Source organism: Homo sapiens, chromosome 1 (assembly GCF_000001405.40).
Source record: "Homo sapiens chromosome 1, GRCh38.p14 Primary Assembly".
Classification (NCBI taxonomy): Eukaryota; Metazoa; Chordata; class Mammalia; order Primates; family Hominidae; genus Homo; species Homo sapiens.
In genome coordinates, this window is record NC_000001.11 from 77,860,200 (window position 1) to 77,880,480 (window position 20,281).

General features: G+C 41.5%; 1 protein-coding gene across 17 annotated transcripts in view, besides 1 other annotated feature; it reads left to right on the plus strand.

The window, feature by feature from the left end:
- The window catches only part of MIGA1 (mitoguardin 1), a 99,892-nt gene extending 80,551 nt beyond the window's left edge, over positions 1-19,341 (plus strand). For 8 of the 17 annotated variants that reach the window (NM_198549.4, NM_001416120.1, NM_001394566.1 and 5 more), the window contains exons 12-16: positions 1,025-1,123; positions 3,695-3,829; positions 6,139-6,192; positions 12,805-12,921; positions 14,647-19,341. In NM_198549.4, the coding sequence (NP_940951.1) occupies positions 1,025-1,123; positions 3,695-3,829; positions 6,139-6,192; positions 12,805-12,921; positions 14,647-14,865 (624 nt within the window). In that variant the 3' untranslated portion in view covers positions 14,866-19,341. Of the gene's footprint in view, positions 1-1,024; positions 1,124-3,694; positions 3,830-6,138; positions 6,193-8,048; positions 8,439-12,801; positions 12,922-14,646 lie in introns of those variants that run through there. The other 9 variants (NM_001270384.2, NM_001394570.1, NM_001394572.1 and 6 more) reach the window with 2 other exon arrangements.
- Positions 10,347-11,217: an enhancer, noted in NCBI's record as "H3K27ac-H3K4me1 hESC enhancer chr1:78336231-78337101 (GRCh37/hg19 assembly coordinates)". NCBI's record gives its function as "activates a minimal SCP1, AML or CMV promoter by ChIP-STARR-seq in naive and primed H9 embryonic stem cells {active_cell/tissue: H9 hESC(naive and primed)}" and the evidence as "EXISTENCE:reporter gene assay evidence [ECO:0000049][PMID:30033119]".
- Positions 19,342-20,281: the final 940 nt, after the last annotated feature.

Here is a 20,281-nt window from a genome sequence, read left to right on the forward strand (position 1 = left end):
CATTAAATTTTTGATAGAAGAAAAATTTTTGTGGATAGTTGAAAAGGGCATTAAGTTATGCTCGGGTTGAACTATGTATAAAGTCCACACTATTTCAACCAAGTTGTTTCTCATAAATTATTTCCAGTTTGCCATAAACTCTGTAAATGTCATGGTGAGAATTATCATTAGATCTGCTGCTATAACCATCACTGTTATTATTACTAATGCCTCCTCTTTTATTACCTCAATCCTGTTCAGGAAGAGGGTTACAGGAAATAGCGTAGGTCTCAGAAATCTGGAATACAAATTGAACTGCCTCATCTTCATGTAGTTGAATGAGGCAGAAGCAATGACAAGAACTTCATTCAGACTGTAAGGAACCACCTTACTTTATGCAAGGTTTGTCCAGATGATGATAAAACAAAACAAGCCTTCCTTGAGCCATTTGCACACCTAGTTTTCAGACTCAATCCCTTTGAACTTTAATTCTTTCATTTATATAATAGAATTGTATTTATATTACCTCATTTCAGAGGGTTTTTAGGATGATTAAATAAATGATAAATGGGAAGCAACTTAAAGAATAAAGTGTTAAGTAGTGTAAAGCTAAGTATATGTAAGGTGATACTATTAATACATGCAATTCCCAATGTAAGTCTTGTGTTGCTTTCTTGGCCTTCTCATGACAGATAAACTCAGTGATTTGAACTAGGGTTCCTCCAAAAGAAGCAGAACTGCAACAAAAGCCTCACATAATGTCTGCTATAACCAAATTTTCATTTTAATTACTGACCAAAATAGGCATACATATTTGAGTAATAAATAGTTTGCTTGTGACATTTTACTGACATTCTTTATCTTGGCTTCTGCAAAATGTTGCAATAGCAAAGTAGTAAACCAGATAAATTTGGCATACCTTTAAAATGTATTTTAGTTCAGTTACCTAGTAGAATTAAGATCTACCAGACTTATTTGAAGAGTAACTTTCTTTGTAGCTTGTTATAAAGTTGAGTTTAGGGTTAAAATGTGTTTTCTTCTTCAGAATCCAAAGAAGTTTGAAGATGTTTTTGATGAAATGATCTATTTTTTAGAGCAGACCGATCACTGGGGTAGTACTGAAATGGAACTTGCTGCTAGAGGGGTAAATTCAAATTTTTTGTGATATTTATTTTTCTTAGTTATTTGCATGTAATTTTATATGAGTTGAGACTACTGTTTCATTGTCCTTGTTAAATAAAGCCAATTGTATGGTTGTGGGACATCTTTTTTTCTGACGAAGTCATAAACCACACTCCTTGTACGTTGGGGCAGTAGTTGTAAATTGTTTTCTAAGAAGCCTTTTTTGCTGTTGTTGGCTCCTTGCTTCCTTCCCTCCTGTCCTCCTTCCCTTGTTCCCTCTCTTCCTTCTCTCCAAAAGTCATTGGCAGGCCCCTAGCAGGACAGGAATGGTGGCCCATGCAAGGACAGCTTTGGGTAGTACAACAGCAGCAGCTCAGTAGGGCTGGGGAATTGGCTGTATACACAAGACTGAACAAATAAGTATACTGAGAAAAATCAGAGCCAGCTTTTCCCTGTGAGAGAAGGGAGGTATAAAATGCTGGGATTGGAATTGGAGCTGTCAGTGTGAGTTCACAGTTTATAATATATATGTAGATACAGATATAGAAATAAATATCGGTCCAGGCATGGTGGCTCACGCCTGTAATCCCAGCACTTTGGGAGGCTGAGGCGGGCGGATCACCTGAGGTCAGGAGTTTGAGACCAACCTAGCCAACATGGAAAAACCTTGTCTCTACTGAAAATACAAAAATTAGCTGGGTATAGTGGCTCACGCCTGTAATCCCAACTACTCGGGAGGCCAAGGAACGAGAATTGCTTGAACCTGGGAGGTGGAGGCGGCAGTGAGCCAAGATCGTGCCACTGTACTCCAGCCTGGGTGACAGAACGAGACTCTGTCTCAAAAAATATATAGATATAGATATTGGTCAGGCATGGTGGCTCACGCCTGTAATCCCAGCACTTTGGGAGGCTGAGGCGGGCGGATCACCTGAGGTCAGGAGTTCGAGACCAACCTAGCCAACATGGCAAAACCTCATCTCTACTGAAAATACAAAAATTAGCCAGGTGTAGTGGCTCACGCCTGTAATCCCAACTACTCGGGAGGCCAAGGAATGAGAATTGCTTGAACCTGGGAGGTGGAGGTGGCAGAGAGTCAAGATCGCGCCACTGTACTCCAGCCTGGGTGACAGAACAAGACTCTGGCTCAAAAAATATATAGATATAGATATCGGTCCGGCATGGTGGCTCACGCCTGTAATCCCAGCACTTTGGGAGGCTGAGACGGGCAGATCGTGAGGTCAGGAGTTTAAGACCAGCCTGACCAACATGGTGAAACCTGTCTCTACTAAAAATACAAAAATTAGCCAGGCATGGAGCGCATGCCTGTAATCCCAGCCTGGGTGGCAGAGCGAGACTCCGTCACACACACACACAAAAGGAATGAAATCCCAGCACTTTGGGAGGCCGAGGCGGGCAGATCACTTGAGGCCAGGAGTTTGAGATCAGCCAGGCCAACATGGTGAAGCCCTGTCTCCACTAAAAATACAAAAATTAGCCAGGCATGGTGGTGCATGCCTGTAATCCCAGCTACTCAGGAGGGTGAGGCAAGAGAATCACTTGAACCCAGGAGGTGGAGGCTGCAGTAAGCCGAGATCGTGCCAGTGCACTCCAGCCTGGGTGACAGAGCAAGACTCTGTCTCAGAAGCAAAAAAAAAAAAAAAGAGTGAGTTTACAAGCAGCTGAAAGGCCTTCTAGGCAGAGAAAACAGTGGATACAACAAATACATGAAGACTTAATTTTTCCTTTTCTAGTGTTCCCTTATTCAGGAAATGAAATCAGTATCCATTTACTTCTGCAGGCCAGCAACCTGAGACTCATCCTTCACCTCTCCCTGATGCTCACCCATTTTATCATATTCATCTCTAATTTTGTCAGTTTTAACTCCTAAATATCTTTCAGTTTCTTCGACTTTTCTCTCTTTCTGTCACCCCTCTTGGCCTAAGTGCCTGTTGTCTTTTCTCTGGGCTACATCAGTAGTCTTTATATTTCCCGATTCCCTGCTCACTCCTTTCCTCCCTGCATTCATTCTTTCCCCTGTTTCATTCTCCACATTTCTGCCAAAATGATACAGCACACTATACTTTTTCCTTTATTGTGCTTCACACAGTTCATAATTGGATATTTGCAGGATTATTTTGTTGCTGTTTTCCCCACTATACTCTAGGCGTCTAATTTGCTTACTCTAGAAGTTTGAGCACTTGGTACAGCATGTAGTATGTAGAGTGTGTATGTATGAATGAATGAAAGAGCAAGATGTTCATGATCTGGTGGGGAAGACAGGCACATATACCAGTAACTAAATAACAAGGCAGAATGAGCATCCTGGATGTTATAATAGAAGCGTGAACAAAGGACTCCTAGAATAGAGAGGAGGAGAGATTATTTTCACTTGAGATCTAGGAAGGAGCAGCGATAATGTGAATTCGTAATTTCTAGTGGCGAGCTTTCATATTTATCTCTCCTTTTATTTTTTATTTTTGAATAAGCTGATTAAAAAAAACCCCTGCTGTTATAAAACCATAAAGCCCTGGCTCAGATTTTATTTCAGCTCTATGTAATAATAATTTCTGTTTCAACTCATAATTTAATGCAGGTGAAAAATCTAAATTTTTATGATGTTGTTCTGGATTTTATATTAATGGACTCCTTTGAAGATTTGGAAAACCCACCCACATCCATACAGAATGTAGTAAATAATCGATGGCTAAACTCATCCTTCAAAGAAACAGTAAGTGGTGGTTAACCTTTCTCAGCCTTTTAAGTTTGATTAAAAAGTGAGGCTGGGCGCAGTAGCTCACGCCTGTAATCCCAGCACTTTGGGAGGCCAAGGCAGGCGGATCACCTGAGGTCAGGAGTTTGAGACCAGCCTGGCCAACATGGTGAAACCCCATCTCTACTAAAAATACAAAAAAAAAAAAAATTAGCTGGGCATGGTAGCGGGCACCTGTAATCCCAGCTACTCGGGAGGCTGAGGCAGGAGAATTGCTTGAACCTGGGAGGTGCAGTGAGCTGAGATTGAGCCATTGCATTCCAGCCTGGGCAACAAAAGCAAAACTCCGTCTCATAAACAAACAAACAAACAAAAAAGTGGTTGGCCAGGCGCGGTTGCTCACACCTGTAATCTCAGCACTTTGGGAGGCTGAGGCAAGTGGATCATTTGAGGTCAGGAGTTCGAGACCAGCCTGGCCAACATGGTGAAAGGCTGTCTCTTTTAAAAATACAAAAATTAGCTGGGTATGGTGGTGGGCACCTGTAATCCCAGCTACTCGGGAGGCTGAGGTGTAATAATCGCTTGAACCCAGGAGGCAGAGGTTGCAGTAAGCCGAGATCGTGCCGCTGCACTCCAGCCTGGACAACAAGAGTGCAACTCTATCTCAAAAAAATGTCAAAACTGGGTAGATTGTTAAGATTTACATATACATCTGTCTGTGAAATAATGTATGGAAACTGAGCTCATCCTTTGATATTCAGCTCAGGCATATACGGCATAACATCTTCAGATGAAATTCTCTTTTCAGCTTCTGTTCTTTTCTGTTCTCAAACCTGTTTGACATTGGTTTTTGTTGGGCTTTAAGTGTGCACCTGGAAGCAAAGTAGGGTGGATATATTTTATGATGCAGTTTGGATACCTTTAAAAAAATGTTCCAGTTGGCAATTTCACAATTATTTTGGAACTTACTGATATTAAACTTAAAAGCATTTTAAATAAATTCATTTTGCCTCAATTAAGTATGTTTTAATAATAAAAGGTACATGTTCTCCATTTCTGTAACTGATTTGGTAAAGTGACCTTGATCAAAGCTGGGTCATGCCAGAGTGGGGTCAGATTTTTCTTTCTTTTTTTTTTTTTTCCTTCCTGGAATCACCTCCAAGGGTCAGATTTCTTCAGGATCCACTGGGTGCTTTTGTCCTGTCATGGTTGTATTTCCTAGTTCTTTATTTGGATCAAACTGTTAGCTCTATTCACAAATATTCCAATAGTACTATTCTTGAAAAAAAATTACTTTAGGCCAGGTACAGTGACTCATGCCTGTAATCCCAGCACTTTGGAAGGCCGAAGCAGGCCGATTACTTGAGCTCAGGAGTTTGAGACCAGCCTGGGCAACATAGTGACACCTCGTCTCTATAAAAAAAATACAAAAATTTGCCAGGTGCAGTGGTGTGTGCCTGTGGTTTCAGTTACTCAGGAGGCTGAGGTGGGAGGTTCACTTGAGCCTTGGAGGCGGAGGTTGCAGTGAACCGAGATCACTCCTTTGCACTTCAGCCTAGGCAATGGGAGTGAAACCCTGTCTCAAAAAAAAAGAAGAAGAAAAATTACTTTATTATTACACATAGAATATTTATTTGTGTATGTGAATTCTATATACACATATTTTCACTTTTTTCCCTTAAGGAACAGAACTTTAAAACTCTGAAAATTGAATCTCCTTTGTTCCAGAGTGCAGTCTTTTTCCTTTAGTGGCTTTGTGTTTAATTTTTTAAATATTATTTTACTTTTTTTTTTTTGCCCTTGCAACATACAACTTTGCTCATGATTTAAAAATTTATAAAAATGAAATACCTTTTCATTAATATTTTCAAACAATGTGAGGACCCTGACTAGTTTTGTTTTTTGTTTGTTTGTTTGTTTTGAGACAAAGTCTTGCTCTGTCGCTAGGCTGGAGTGCAGTGGCGCGATCTCTGTTTACTATAACCTCCGCCTCCCGGGTTCAAGCAATTCTCCTGCCTCAGCCTCCCGAGTATCTGGGTCTACAGGCATGCGCCACCATGCCCAGCTAATTTTGTTTTGCATTTTTAGTAGAGATGGGGTTTCACCGTCTTGGCCAGGATGGTCTCCATCTCTTGACCTCATGATCCACCCGCCTCGGCTTCCCAAAGTGCTGGGATTACAGATGTGAGCCACTGTGCCCGGCCGACTAGTTCTTATTAGTAATGAATGTATTGAACGTTTTAGACCCATAAACTTTGAATTTCTAATAAAAATGGAAATGTTTATATAGCTATATATAAATCTTTCTTTTCTCTGCATGTATTTAGGCTGTGGCTTCAAGTTGTTGGTCGGTGCTGAAACAGAAAAGACAACAGATGAAGGTAAAATTCGTTATGTCCTGAATTCCTTTGTTAAATCATTTAAGGATTCTGTCAAAGCAGCTTCTGAGTCACTTCTCCGGTGGGAATTGGCAGCTGTAGGAGGGGTAGGAGGGACTGTCCCTCAGGCTAGATGAGTGACTTACTGGTAGTGGGTTGGCTTCTTTTTTGAAGGCCTTCTTTCTCATCCTTAGTATTGAGGCATGCATGGTATTTCAGCTAACTGGGAGAGGGGTTTCGAGTTGGAAACAGCTCTGATAAGTTTTAGGTTTTTGTTTTTTCTCTTAATGATATTAATTTTTTTTTTTTTTTTTTGAGACAGTCTGTCTCTGTTGTCCAGGCTGGAGTGTGGTGGCGCGATCCTGGCTCACTGCAATCTTTGCTTCCCGGGTTCAAGCGATTCTTCTGCCTCAGCTTCCCAAGTAGCTGGGACCGTAGGTGCCACCACACCCGGCTAATTTTTTTATTTTTAGTAGAGATGGGGTTTCACCATGTTGGCCAGGCTGGTCTCAAACTCCTGACCTCAGGTTATCCGCCCGCCTTGGCCTCCCAAAGTGCTGGGATTACAGGTGTAAGCCACTGCACCTGGCCAGTATTTTTTTACAGTTCTTTAATATAGTGGATTCCCTTCGTTTAATCCAATTAAGAAATAAAGATTTGATTCTAATAGCTGCTTTATTCAGTTTGGAGCCCCTACAAATAAAAAGTCTCAGAGTTTATATCCTGCCTTCACGCCTCACACCCTGTAACCTGTCTTACCTGCTAAGCATTGTTTTCCTCATACACTCCTAGTAGTAAAGGGCAAGGACTCTGGAGTGAGACTACTGGGTTCAAATGCCACATACTAGCTATGTGACCTTAGGCAAGTTGCTTACCCTCTCTATGCCTCAGTTTCCTTATCTCTAAAAATAGAATAGTAATAGTATCTACCTCATAGTGTTTTGTTTTGTTTTAGAGATAGGGTCTTGCTCTGTCATTCAGGCTGGAGTGCCGTGGCATGATCATAGCTCACTGCAGCCTCTATAACTCCTGGGCTAAAGCAATCTTTCTGCCTCATCCTCCCTGAGTTGCTAGGACTACAGGTGCACACCACCATGCCTGGCTGATTTTTTATTTTTGTGTACAGATGAGCTCTTGCTGTGTTGCCCAGGCTGGCCTCAAACTCCTGGCCTCAAGTGATCTTCCAGTCTCGGCCTCCCAAAGTGTTGGGATTACAGGCGTGAGCCACTGTGCCTAGCCCTCATAGGGTTTCTTGAAGATTCAATGTGAAGTGCTTAGAACAGTGCTTGGCATAGTGCATTAAGCAAGTATTGACTGTTACAACATTATTATTTACCCAAGGACCTGTAGTATTTTATCATATCCATATTTTTCAATCTTATAACTTTGAGACAGTATTGCCAGTTGCAGTGATTTTAAAGTATAGTCCTCACAGCATCTTTAGAATGTGCTGGTAGAAATAATTCTGGAGCCCCTGTATTTGAATAATTCTTATTTAAAATGATTCCAGAGACCCATATTTTAAGCAGGTTTCCTTAATGATGATGATGAACTCTAACGTTAGGACTAGGAACAGACTTGTATACATGGGTTTGATTCTCACACTAGCTAGCATGATTACAGTAAGTTACTGACCATCAGCTTACCCTCAGTTTTCCCATTTGCAAAATGGTGTTAATGCCTACTTAATAGGACTGCGGTAAGGATGAAAGCGATGATATCAGCAAGCTTAATTTAAACATTAAACATTTAAAGAGTTTAGTAAGTGGTAGTTATAATAATAATGATATATTATTAACATGTCTAACTTTATTTTTCTACTTCTTAGAATAAATATTGTACTTTTTTTTCTTTTTGAGACGGAGTCTCACTCTGTCGCCCAGGCTGGAGTGCAATGGCATGATCTCAGCTCACTACAACCTCTGCCTCCCAGGTTCAAGCGATTCTTCTGCCTCAGCCTTTCAAGTAGCTGGGATTACAGGCGCTTGCCACCATGTCCGGCTAATTTGTATATTTTTGGCAAAGATGGGGTTTCATCATGTTGGCCAGGCTAATCTCAAACTCCCAGCTTCAAGTCATCCACCTGCCTTGGCCTCCCAAAGTGCTGGGATTTCAGGCCTGAGCCACTGCGCCCAACCTATAACTTTCTATATCCATAGATACCTATATGTCTCACCTCTTAGGAACTATTTCCTATACCTGAAATGCCAAATTCCCTCTGTACTTAAATAAATCTTACCCATCATTGAGCTCAGCTCACATTATTCCTTGCTGAAATTTATCTAGTCTGCTTCAGCCCACACTAAGTTCCCACTTCTCTGAATTCATAATACACTTCAAGTCTGTATGGTATTTAGAACTTTACTATATGTAGAACATACTTTTTGGCCCTCACTAACTAGCTGTGTGTGAATTAGGGCAGTTTATTTAACCCCTCTCCAATATCACTTTTCACATGTTTAAAATGATGTTAACATGACATACTTTTGAAGGAATGTTATAGTAAATTAAATAGAAACTAGCACATTTTCTTTTTTTTTTTAATTTATTTATTTTTTTTTTTTATTGATCATTCTTGGGTGTTTCTCGCAGAGGGGGATTTGGCAGGGTCATAGGACAATAGTGGAGGGAAGGGAGGGAAGGTCAGTAGATAAACAAGTGAACAAAGGTCTCTGGTTTTCCTAGGCAGAGGACCCTGCAGCCTTCCGCAGTGTTTGTGTCCCTGGGTACTTAAGATTAGGGAGTGGTGATGACTCTTAACGAGCATGCTGCCTTCAAGCATCTGTTTAACAAAGCACATCTTGCACCGCCCTTAATCCATTTAACCCTGAGTGGACACAGCACATGTTTCAGAGAGCACAGGGTTGGGGATAAGGTCACAGATCAACAGGATCCCAAGGCAGAAGAATTTTTCTTAGTACAGAACAAAATGAAAAGTCTCCCATGTCTACTTCTATCCACACAGACCCGGCAACCATCCGATTTCTCAATTTTTTCCCCACTCTTCCTGCCTTTCTATTCCACAAAACCGCCATTGTCATCATGGCCCATCCCCAATGAGCCGCTGGGCACACCTCCCAGACGGGGTCGTGGCCGGGCAGAGGGGCTCCTCACTTCCCAGTAGGGGCGGCCGGGCAGAAGCGCCCCTCACCTCCCGGATGGGGCGGCTGGCCGGGCGGGGGGCTGACCCCCCCACCACCCTCCCGGACGAGGCGGCTGGCCAGGCAGAGGGGTCCTCACTTCCCAGTAGGGGCGGCCGGGCAGAGGCGCCCCTCACCTCCCGGACGGGGCGGCCGGCTGGGCGGGGGGCTGACCCCCCCACCTCCCTCCCGGACAGGGCGGCTGGCCGACCCCCCCCCCGCCTGCCTCCCGGACGGGGCGGCTGGCCGGGCAGAGGGGCTCCTCACTTCCCAGTAGGGGCGGCCGGGCAGAGGCGCCCCTCACCTCCCGGACGGGGCGGCTGGCCAGGCGGGGGGCTGATCCCCCCACCTCCCTCCCGGACGGGGCGGCTGGCCGGGCGGGGGGCTGACCCCGCCCACCTCCCTCCCGGACGGGGCGGCTGGCCGGGCGGGGGGCTGACCCCCCCACCTCCCTCCCGGATGGGGCGACTGGCCGGGCAGAGGGGCTCCTCACTTCCCAGTAGGGGCGGCCGGGCAGAGGCGCCCCTCACCTCCCGGACTGGGCGGCTGGCCGGGCGGGGGGCTGACCCCCCCACCTCCCTCCTGGACGGGGCGACTGGCCGGGCAGAGGGGCTCCTCACTTCCCAGTAGGGGCGGCCGGGCAGAGGAGCCCCTCACCTCCCGGACGGGGCGGCTGGCCGGGCGGGGGGCTGACCCCCCCCCCCACCTCCCTCCCGGTCGGGGTGGCTGCCGGGCGGAGACGCTCCTCACTTCCCAGACGGGGTGGCTGCCGGACGGAGGGGCTCCTCACTTCTCAGACGGGGCGGTTGCCAGGCAGAGGGTTTCCTCACTTCTCAGACGGGGCGGCCGGGCAGAGACGCTCCTCACCTCCCAGACAGGGTTGCGGCCCAGCAGAGGCGCTCCTCACATCCCAGACAGGGCGGCGGGGCAGAGGTGCTCCCCACATCTCAGACGATGGGCGGCCGGGCAGAGACGCTCCTCACTTCCTAGATGGGATGGCGGCGGGGAAGAGGCGCTCCTCGCTTCCTAGATGGGATGGCGGCCGGGCAGAGACGCTCCTCACTTTCCAGACTGGGCAGCCAGGCAGAGAGGCTCCTCATATCCTAGACGATGGGGGGCCAGGCAGAGACGCTCCTCACTTCCCAGACGGGGTGGCGGCTGGGCAGAGGCTGCAATCTCGGCACTTTGGGGGGCCAAGGCAGGCGGCTGGGAGGTGGAGGTTGTAGCGAGCCGAGATCACGCCACTGCACTCCAGCCTGGGCACCATTGAGCACTGAGTGAACGAGACTCCGTCTGCAATCCCGGCACCTCGGGAGGCCGAGGCCGGCGGATCACTCGCGGTTAGGAGCTGGAGACCAGCCCGGCCAACACAGCAAAACCCCGTCTCCACCAAAAAAAAAAACGAAAACCAGTCAGGCGTGGCGGTGCGCGCCTGCAGTCGCAGGCACTCGGCAGGCTGAGGCAGGAGAATCAGGCAGGGAGGTTGCAGTGAGCCGAGATGGCAGCAGTACCGTCCAGCTTTGGCTCGGCATCAGAGGGAGACCGTGGAAGGAGACCGTGGGAAGGGGGAGAGGGAGAGGGAGAGGGAGAGGGAGAGGAGGGAGAGGGAGAGGGCAGCACATTTTCTAGAATATAATGGGTACTCATTAAATGGTAACTGCTGCTATCTTATATTTTAAAAATGAGGTTTAGGCCCGGCACAGTGGCTCTTGCATGTAATCCTAGCACTTTGGGAGGCCAAAGAGGGTGGATCACCTGAGGTCAGGAGTTCGAGACCAGCCTGGCCAACATGGCGAAACCCCGTCTCTACTAAAAACTCAAAAATTAGCTGGGCATGGTGGTGCACGCTTGTAATCCCAGCTACTCAGGAGGCTGAGGCAGGAGAATTGCTTGAACCCGGGAGGCAGAGGTTGCAGTGAGCCAAGATGGTGCCACTGCACTCCAGCCTGGGCGACAGAGTGAGACTCCGTCTCAGAAAAAAAAAAAGAAAAGAAAATGAGGTTTAGAAGATTGTCTTGGAGACTGTAAAATAGAAAATAACCCCCGCCCCCCAGGAGACAGAATCTTAAGGTGTAGTTTTCTGTAGTCAGTGCTGTATAACAAATCCCACAGTGTGTTATTTAACAAGGGAAATTCAAAAAGTTATAAATATAGAGTTTCCTAAAACACAGCTATATTGACTAATACTTCACAGGAAGAGGCAATTACACAATTAAATGCTTAAATAATATAGGGTTCCTTAATTAAAAGTTAGGATTCTAGTAAGAGTAATTTAGCTTAATCATTTTACTAGTTTTTTTTTGGTCAGTTAATATAATTAAGTGATTGAGTTGGGCTTTTAAATAGCTAAAACTTTGATAGTCTTAATAATCCCATAAAACTTATACAACTAAGGAACACTGTAGCATTCTTGTTGTTGCTTCGTTGCAAAGCTAATATGATTGCCCTTTTTTTTTTGAGACAGAGTCTTACTTTGTCACCCAGGCTGGAGTACAGTGGCATTATCTTGGCTCACTGCACCATCCAATTCCTGGGCTCAAATGATCCTCCCACCTCAGTCTCCTGAGTAGCTAGGACTATAGGTACACACCACCATGCCTGGCTAACTTTTGTATTTTTTGTAGAGACAAGGTTTCACCATGTTGCCCAGGCTGGTCTCGAACTCCTAAGGGTCAAGTGATCCACCTGCCTTGGCCTCCCAAAAGTGTTGGGATTATAGGCATGAGCCACCATGCCTGGCTGGATTGCTTTTTTATGAAGCATTTTTATGAGGTAAAAACAACTTTTAAGGGCGGGGTGTGGCAGCTCACGCCTGTAATCCCAGCACTTTGGGAGGCAAAGTAGGGAGGATTGCTTGAGCCCAGGAGTTCAAGACCAGCCTGAGCAACATAGTGAGACCTGTTTCTACTAAAAATAGAAAAAATTAGCCAGGAGGGGTGGCGTGCACGTGTGGTTCCAGCTACCTGGAATTTTGAGGTGGGAGGATCACTCAAGCTTGGGAAGTTGAGGCTGCAGTGAGCCATGACTGCACCAGTGCACTTCACCCTGGGCTACAGAGTGAGACCCTGTCTCAAAAAAACAAACAACAAATACAGAAATGTGTCTCAGCACATATGAAACTGTTGGCTAGGATATGAAATCTACATAAAACATTCTATGACTCTAAAGGTTACTTGTAACCTTATTAACTTTCTTAATAGCATGGCTCATGACTGACTCTTGGTTTGCCCTCAAAAAGAGCTAGTCATGAGCCCTGCACTATAGTGCCTGCCTGTAGTCCCCACTGCTTAGGATGCTAAAGCCGGGGGATTGCTTGAGGCCAGGAGTTTGAGGTGTTGCTAGACTCTGGTTCTAAAAAACAAATTTTCTTAAACTCCCACTGGTCATATAATGAATAGCAACTTCAGTTTCTGTACTAGAGAAAGCAAGTAACAAGAAGGTAGAAGTAACTTGATTCTCCTTTACTTCCCAGCAGATCCCAGATGGATTTTTTGCCCATTTTTATGCCATTTGTGAACACATCAGTCCTGTCCTAGCCTGGGGCTTTTTGGGTCCTAGAAATTCTCTGTATGATTTATGTTGCTTTTTTAAGGTATGTTCAGTCATTGAATCATTTCTCTTTTTTTTCTAAATCAAAAAGGAGATACGGTTTTATTCTGTTTTGTTTTGCTTTTGTAGAAGAACAAATGTTATTTAAGAGTAAAGTTATAAAAGTCACCTAAATTCAGCATTTAAATGTCAGTGTTAAATATTTTTGGCATTTTATAATACCACTATTATTATAATGGACCAGTATTTTATAGATTTGGTGCTTTATTCTGGAGTAGACTCAGCATATCCATTCACCTTATCAATTCCCTAATGCAAGGGATACATGGTCTTGCATGGTGTTGCCATGTGACAGTCAAATCAATGTAGATAGTTGGTTTTTCATACCTGGGCACTTTTGAAACTTACAAACAATATCCACCTTTATTGCACATGTGGTAATATAGAATAAGTTGTGGTTAAAGGTGAGATGAATGATAAAATCCAAGTTGTGAGAAATAAAATGGGGGTTTAATGTTATCTCCCAATGTCAGCAGTTTTAGTTTGCCAAAATACAAGTTATAGCTCCTTATAGAATTTTCTGGCTGGCAAAGTGACAAGGAAAGTCTCGCTATGTAATAGTCTTGAGTTTAGGCTGCATTTCAAGGAGCAAATAAAAGTAAACATAATTGAGTATGAATTTGAAAGTTTGGATGTTTTACTATACCATTCATTTTTTAAAATTATGTTTATGTGCTGTCAAGGTAATATTTTTATAAATGGTTTAGAAAATGTGTATTTTACTGTCATTCAGAACACGTTGATTTTTGTAGTTTACTTGACCACCCAAATGTAAGGTATGTGTTTTAGGGGTTGGGAATTAAGTCTGTCATCAGTGAGCATTCTGACTTGGGGCAAATCATTCTTTGATGTTCCTTTTATCTATAAAACGAGGGAGCCTAACAGGTTGATCGCTAATGACCCTTTCAGATATAAAATCCAGTGAATCAATGAAGTGTGTCTTCTTAGTACTTCTTAATAACGTTTGGAAGATACGTTATTAAGAAAGAAGATAGAAATTAAATATTCCTGTTTTTCGCTCTTTGAAATTACTTTTTTTCTATTATGGTGACATAATAGCTGAGACTTAATACTTATTCGTATACAGTTTGCTTACAGTGAGTTTCAGTGTATATAATAACTTACTGAAATGAAATATCCTTCAGGATCTACCACTGATTTGAGACCTGAAATGTTCTTTATTTTTCATGTGCCTTAAGGGTTTTTCTTGTACAAAAAAAAAAAGCACATTTAAAATTATAACGTATTATTTTATTATTATTTATTTAAAACTATTACTGGAAATAGTTTATTCTTCTGTCTTAGAGTAGAGGCAATGCTCAAAGGTCACATTGAAGGGAAAGGACTATAACCCCTTACATTTAAACAGTGCTTTAGAGTTTACAGGCACTTCTTATAGATTATCTTTTTTTAAATGTTTCCCCACCTTTTCATGGTATCACATAGGTTATCTTTTTTGATCATCATGTCATCCCTGAGTAGTAAGTAGGGTGGGTGGTATTAGCCCTATTTCACAGAAAAAGAAAATGAGCCCCCAAAAAGGAAAGGTTAAATCACTTGTGCAAGGTCCCTTTTCTAATGAGATATGAAACTAGCACTGGAAGTCAGGTCTTCTGAGTCCTGATTCAGTGCTCATTATAATATTAGAAGCTTTCTCAATGTAACTTAATTTTGGTCTAATAAATGCCAATTTATGTTCATTTTCCAGAATCAAGTTCTTTTATTTCTCAAAGACATTTTTGACTTTGAGAAGGTGCGCTATTCAAGTACAGAGACTTTAGCTGAAGACCTCATGCAGTTACTCATTCGCCGCACTGAGCTTTTAATGGCCTATCTTGAAGCAGATGCCCTGAGGCATACAAGTAGTTGTCTAAGCAGTCATGGTCATGTTATGTCCACTGGGCTACTGGAAGCCAAAGTACAATAAGTACCATAAGAATCATACAATTTGAGTGTGCTATGAAATATTTTAAGGTAACTATTGATTTTGTAACATATATTACAAAGTTAACAGAATTGATGCATGTGGATTCAGGGAGGAAAAAAAAATCTACTAAAAAATGAGCAACTGTACTGTATTTATACAGAAGTTCTGTCATTGAATTCCTGTGTAGTGTAGTCATAGTGGCTTTTTGCATTCATTAGGTAATAATTGAAGTCATGAAATGTATATTTTACAGAAATATCGCTTGAATTGAAGCCAATATTTGGGAGTTAATTGGTTTGTCTTCTTGAAGCTGTCATTCTCAAAAGCTCTGTTTTTATGCTTTGCACCTTTAAAATGTACACTTTAGCCAAGGTCTTTGTGGCCCACACATGCAAGAATATATTACTTCTAATGTCAATATATTTAACTTTGCCTAGAAACATATTTTTAATTATAAAGTTATTCATTTGTTTAATCAAGTTTAGGCAGTAATGATGTTTAATATGTACTGCATACATTATTGCTTGTGCATTTGCTTATGTATTTGAATCAAAGAAATTGTAATCACTGAATATTGTTATAGAACATTTAAATGGGCCACTTGCAGTGGCTCATGCCTGTAATACATTGGGAGGCTGAGGCAGGAGGACAGTTTGAGGCCAGGAGGTTGAGACTAGCCTGGACAACATAAGGAGATGCCTGTCTCTACAAAAACATAAAAATAAATTAGCTGGTATCAAGCAGAGTTCCATGGAAATATTAAAATTTTTTTAAAAAATAAAAATAGGCTGGGTGTGGTGGTTCATGCCTGTAATCCTAGCACTTTGGGAGGCCAAGGTGGGCGGATCACCTGAGGTCAGGTGTTCGAGACCAGCCTCCCCAATATGGTGAAACCCCGTCTCTACTAAAAATACAAAAATTAGCCAGGTGTGGTGGCGGGCGCCTGTAGTCCCAGCTACTCGGGAGGCTGACACAGGAGTATTGCTTGAACCCAGGAAGTGGAGGCTGCAGTGAGCCGAGATCGCACCACTGCACTCCAGCCTGGGCAACAAAGTGAGACTCTGTCTCAAAAAATAAATTAATTAAATTAAATTAATTAGTTGGGTGTGGTGGCATGTGTCTGTGGTCCCAGCTACTTGGGAGGCTGAGGTGGGAGGATCACTTGAGTCCAGAAGGTCAAGGCTGTCATGAGCTGTGATTGCATCACTGCACTCCAGCCTGGGCGACAGCAAGACCCTATCTCAGAAGTGAATAAATAAAACAAATACAGCATTTAAATGAATTGACATTGAGAAATTTACAATTTACAAATTTATATTAACTGTAGTTTCCAAAATATGTTACTGTTGGTCCTGTAAGTTACAAAGAGACTGAAGAACTTTCTTTTTATACATTAGAGCATTTTCCCCTGGAATGAGTATTGATTAAAAAGATAACATTTATTAATTAATAAAGGCAATTTAAAATTTAGTGTTATTTGAAGACTGTCAACATCTGAAGGTATGAAACTTGGTACAGTGAAATAATTTCTCCTTTCTCCTTCCTTTTAGTTATTCCCACAGAAAACTCAGCCCAGTGGGAATTTGTCATATTATGCCCATGTTTTAAAAATATTCATAGTTTGAATCTTATTGACATTTTAAAGAAGAGTTTTTTCCTCCCTGGAATGTAAAACAAAAATATTTTTTAATGATGTGGAAGTATATATTTCATGTTCATTATGATAAATCTACAAACAAATGAATTGTTTTTATGGGTGGAGTTCTTCTATAAGAGTATATTAAATGCTTTCAGAGTTGTATTAATTTTGTTTCTAAATAATATACCACTTATTTGGAGTGACTAACTCAGTATGTAAGTAGATGAGATTTGTTGATTTTGCCCCTAAAACGGGCTTTAGTCATTTTAGGAGTGAGTTGCACAAAAGGACCTAAAATGCATTGTTTTTTGCCTTCTTTTAAGAGATGGGGTCTCGCTCTATTGCCCAGGCTGGAGTGCAGTGTGCTATCATACATAGCTCACTGCAGTCTCCAACTCCTCATACCAGAGGCATGTGTCACCATGTCTTACTCCTAAAATGCATTTTTAAAAAGCGAATTTTTAGATTAAAGTGCCTAGTTTCTGATTAATAAATAGAAGATGAAAAAAGTGGGCGGGAAAAGCATAATCTTTTAAGATTTGTAATTTTCTGTATGTGCCACATTTATGTAAATTAACTATAAAATATGGAATTCAGGATCATGCTGTTTTGCATGTACTTTATAGGTTATATAGCATGAAACATACAAATTATCACTGTTCTTTAGTATATAGCTCCTTGCCTTTTCTTACATAGATGCTTAATTTAACAATTACCTATTTATAGTTCTTATTATTGACGGGAATATGATTAGAAGTACCAAAACTAAAAATTCCATTATGTACTGTTTACTTTTTATTTAATATTACATGTTTTTACCTTGTTGCGGTATCTTTGGCCTTCACACACACATGTGTGCGTGCACGTGCATTTCATTACCATGTAGACAAGACAGTTATTGCTTATAGTAATTTACCCATTTGAGGGCTAAGTGTTTTAAGCTGTGGTTTTATAAGCAAAGCTGTAAGTAAATGTAATTTATTTTAGAAAGATATTATTTGAAATCAATTTTGAAGAATTGCACTATTTGATAATGCTGCTACTACATGAGATAACTCTGGGGAATTAATTTTATGAGATAAGATGAATGGCTTTCTAGAAGGTGTTGCTTTTTGTTTTTTCTTTTTCTTTTTTACATTTCATCTTAGAAAAAGTTGCTTATATTCAGCAGGTTGGTTTGTCAAATTCAGTGTTTGAGTTTGTTTCTGGTCAGTTCAGTAGCTGCTACTTTAGCAAGATGTGGCCTTTCACAAAAGAGGTAAGAGTGACCAAATAGAATTTTAGGACAATAAGTATAGGAAATATCTCTTTATCGTAAGATAAGAAACTTGAACTTTTTAAAGGAAATGTCCTCTTGAAAAGAACATTTCTGACTGCATGCAGAAGGGTACTTAAGACATATATAACAGGCCAGGAGCAGTGGCTCACGCCTGTAATCCCAGCACTTTGGGAGGCCCAAGTGGGCAGATAACCTGAGGTCAGGAGTTTGAGACCAGCCTGACCAACATGGTGAAACCCCATCTCTACTAAAAATACAAAAATTAGCCAGGCATGGTGGCGCATGCCTGTAATCCCAGCTACTCGAGAGGCTGAGGCAGGAGAATCGCTTGAACCCGGGAGGCGGAGGTTGCAGTTAGCCGAGATCGTGCCATTGCACTCCAGCCTGGGCAACAAGAGTAAAACTCTGTCTCAAAAAAAAAAAAAAAAAAAAAAAAAAAGACATATGTAACGGTTTCCATTTGCCTTAAAATTGGGTTAAATAGCAAAAGCAATGTCTTTAAAAATGATTAGTTTAGAGCCTTTTAGGGTAAACCCTGTTTAAACACTTAATCATGGAATTGCCCTTGCCACCATGAGCTCTACCATCCACTTCCATATGTAAATTATAAGAGGGACTTCAATTAAGTCACTCCTGAGAAAATATCCTTTTTTCTAGAAGAAAGAAGATAAATTTTGAGGCAATTTACATTTGGTATTTCTTTTAATTTCATTTTTTGTATTTTAATTTCCCTACATTTTTGTTCAACTAAGAGTGCTTATTTCTTCTTGAAGGTTAACATTATGTTTATTAAGTATCAAAATGGAATTATCTTTTAAAAAAGAAGACAAGTTTTCCATACTGTCACAGTAAGCTCCAAAGAACTTTGTCTTTCTCATAAAGTAATATTCTTTATTTGCATCCATTTACTATGATTCCGTTAATTTGTTGAATTAAATGCCTTTATAAAAATATTTACAAATGTTTTCTTGCCTTAAAATGTAACATTTTCTACTTAAATTTAATTTCCAAGAGAGTGATTATTTGCATTACAAAGGAATTCTTAATAATTCCTGTAAGCCTAGGAAATAGGAATGCCAAAGTAACATTTAATGTACTTCTCTATAACTTTTCATAATCAGAAATTTTAAATTATGTTTATATAACCCATTTACTTTTATTTTAATGTGAATATATATTCAGAAATTATTTGATGTAAATTTCAAAATGATTATAGGAATTAAGCTGAATTCTAATTTTTTTGCTTAGATTTAGAAATATGTATGTGAAATTTAAGAATTTATATAATCTGTGATTAGTGGAAATAAGAACATCCCTACTTTGTTCCTAATGAGTATATTATGTTATTGTTTTGTTTAGTTTGTGAACAACCATGTATTAGCTTTACTTAGCTGATGTCAGTAAATGTTTCTGTCTCCTAAATGTAAGGACTGTACTCATTAATTTGTGTAAAAGTAAAACACTACAGTAGCAGAAAAAATTGCACTGGCTCTTTAGCCAAAATAAGCACTGTAACATGGATGTATTACTATTACTGCCAAATAAAAAAGTGATGGTACGTCTTGCTGATGTATTGAATATTTTAAACAATGTTAATATATAATTATGAAGTCACACTTGTCTCATCAGATCCTGTATGAGAATATTCAGTCTCCATAAGACCCATATATATGGCATAGAGAACAGGACAACTGCAGAAGCATTATAATCAAATATAAAACTTTATCATTAAAATAAAAAATAAAAGGCCGGGTGCGGTGGCTCATGCCTGTAATCCCAGCACTTTAGGAGGCCGAGGCGGGTGGATCATCTGAGGTCAGGAGTTCGAGACCAGCCTGGCCAACATGGTGAAACCCCGTCTCTACTAAAAATACAAAAATTATCTGGGCATGGTGGTGGGCACCTGTAATCCCAGCTACTTGGGAGGCTGAGGCAGGAGAATCGCTTGAACCTGGGAGGCAGAGGTCGCAGTGAGCCAAGAGTGCACCATTGCACTCCAGCCTGGGCAACAAGAGCGAAACTCTGTCTCAAAAAAATAAAAAATGAAAACAAAGATTAAAAATTTATTGTTTCTCCATGTACTGATATGGGGAAAAAGACAGTTTTGTGATGAATAAAGTGAAAATACTTGTATTTTAATTTAAGTGTTTGGATGATAATGCCATCAAGCATAATATAAACTTATATTGATATATTGATGTATATGCATCATTACTATTCATATATGACCTGAACCTCTCTTCTCATCAATTCTTCAAAAGGCTTCAGATATATGGCCGGGTGCAGTGGCTCATGCCTGTAATCCCAGCATGTTGGGAGGCCGAGCAAGGCAGATCACTTGAGGTCAGGAGTTTGAGACCAGCCTGGCCAACATGGCGAAACCCTGTCCCTATTAAAAATACAAAAATTAGCCAGGCATGGTGGCGCACACCTGTAATCCCAGGTTCTTGGAAGGCTGAGGCAGGAGAATTGCTTGAACCCAGGAGGTGGAGGTTGTA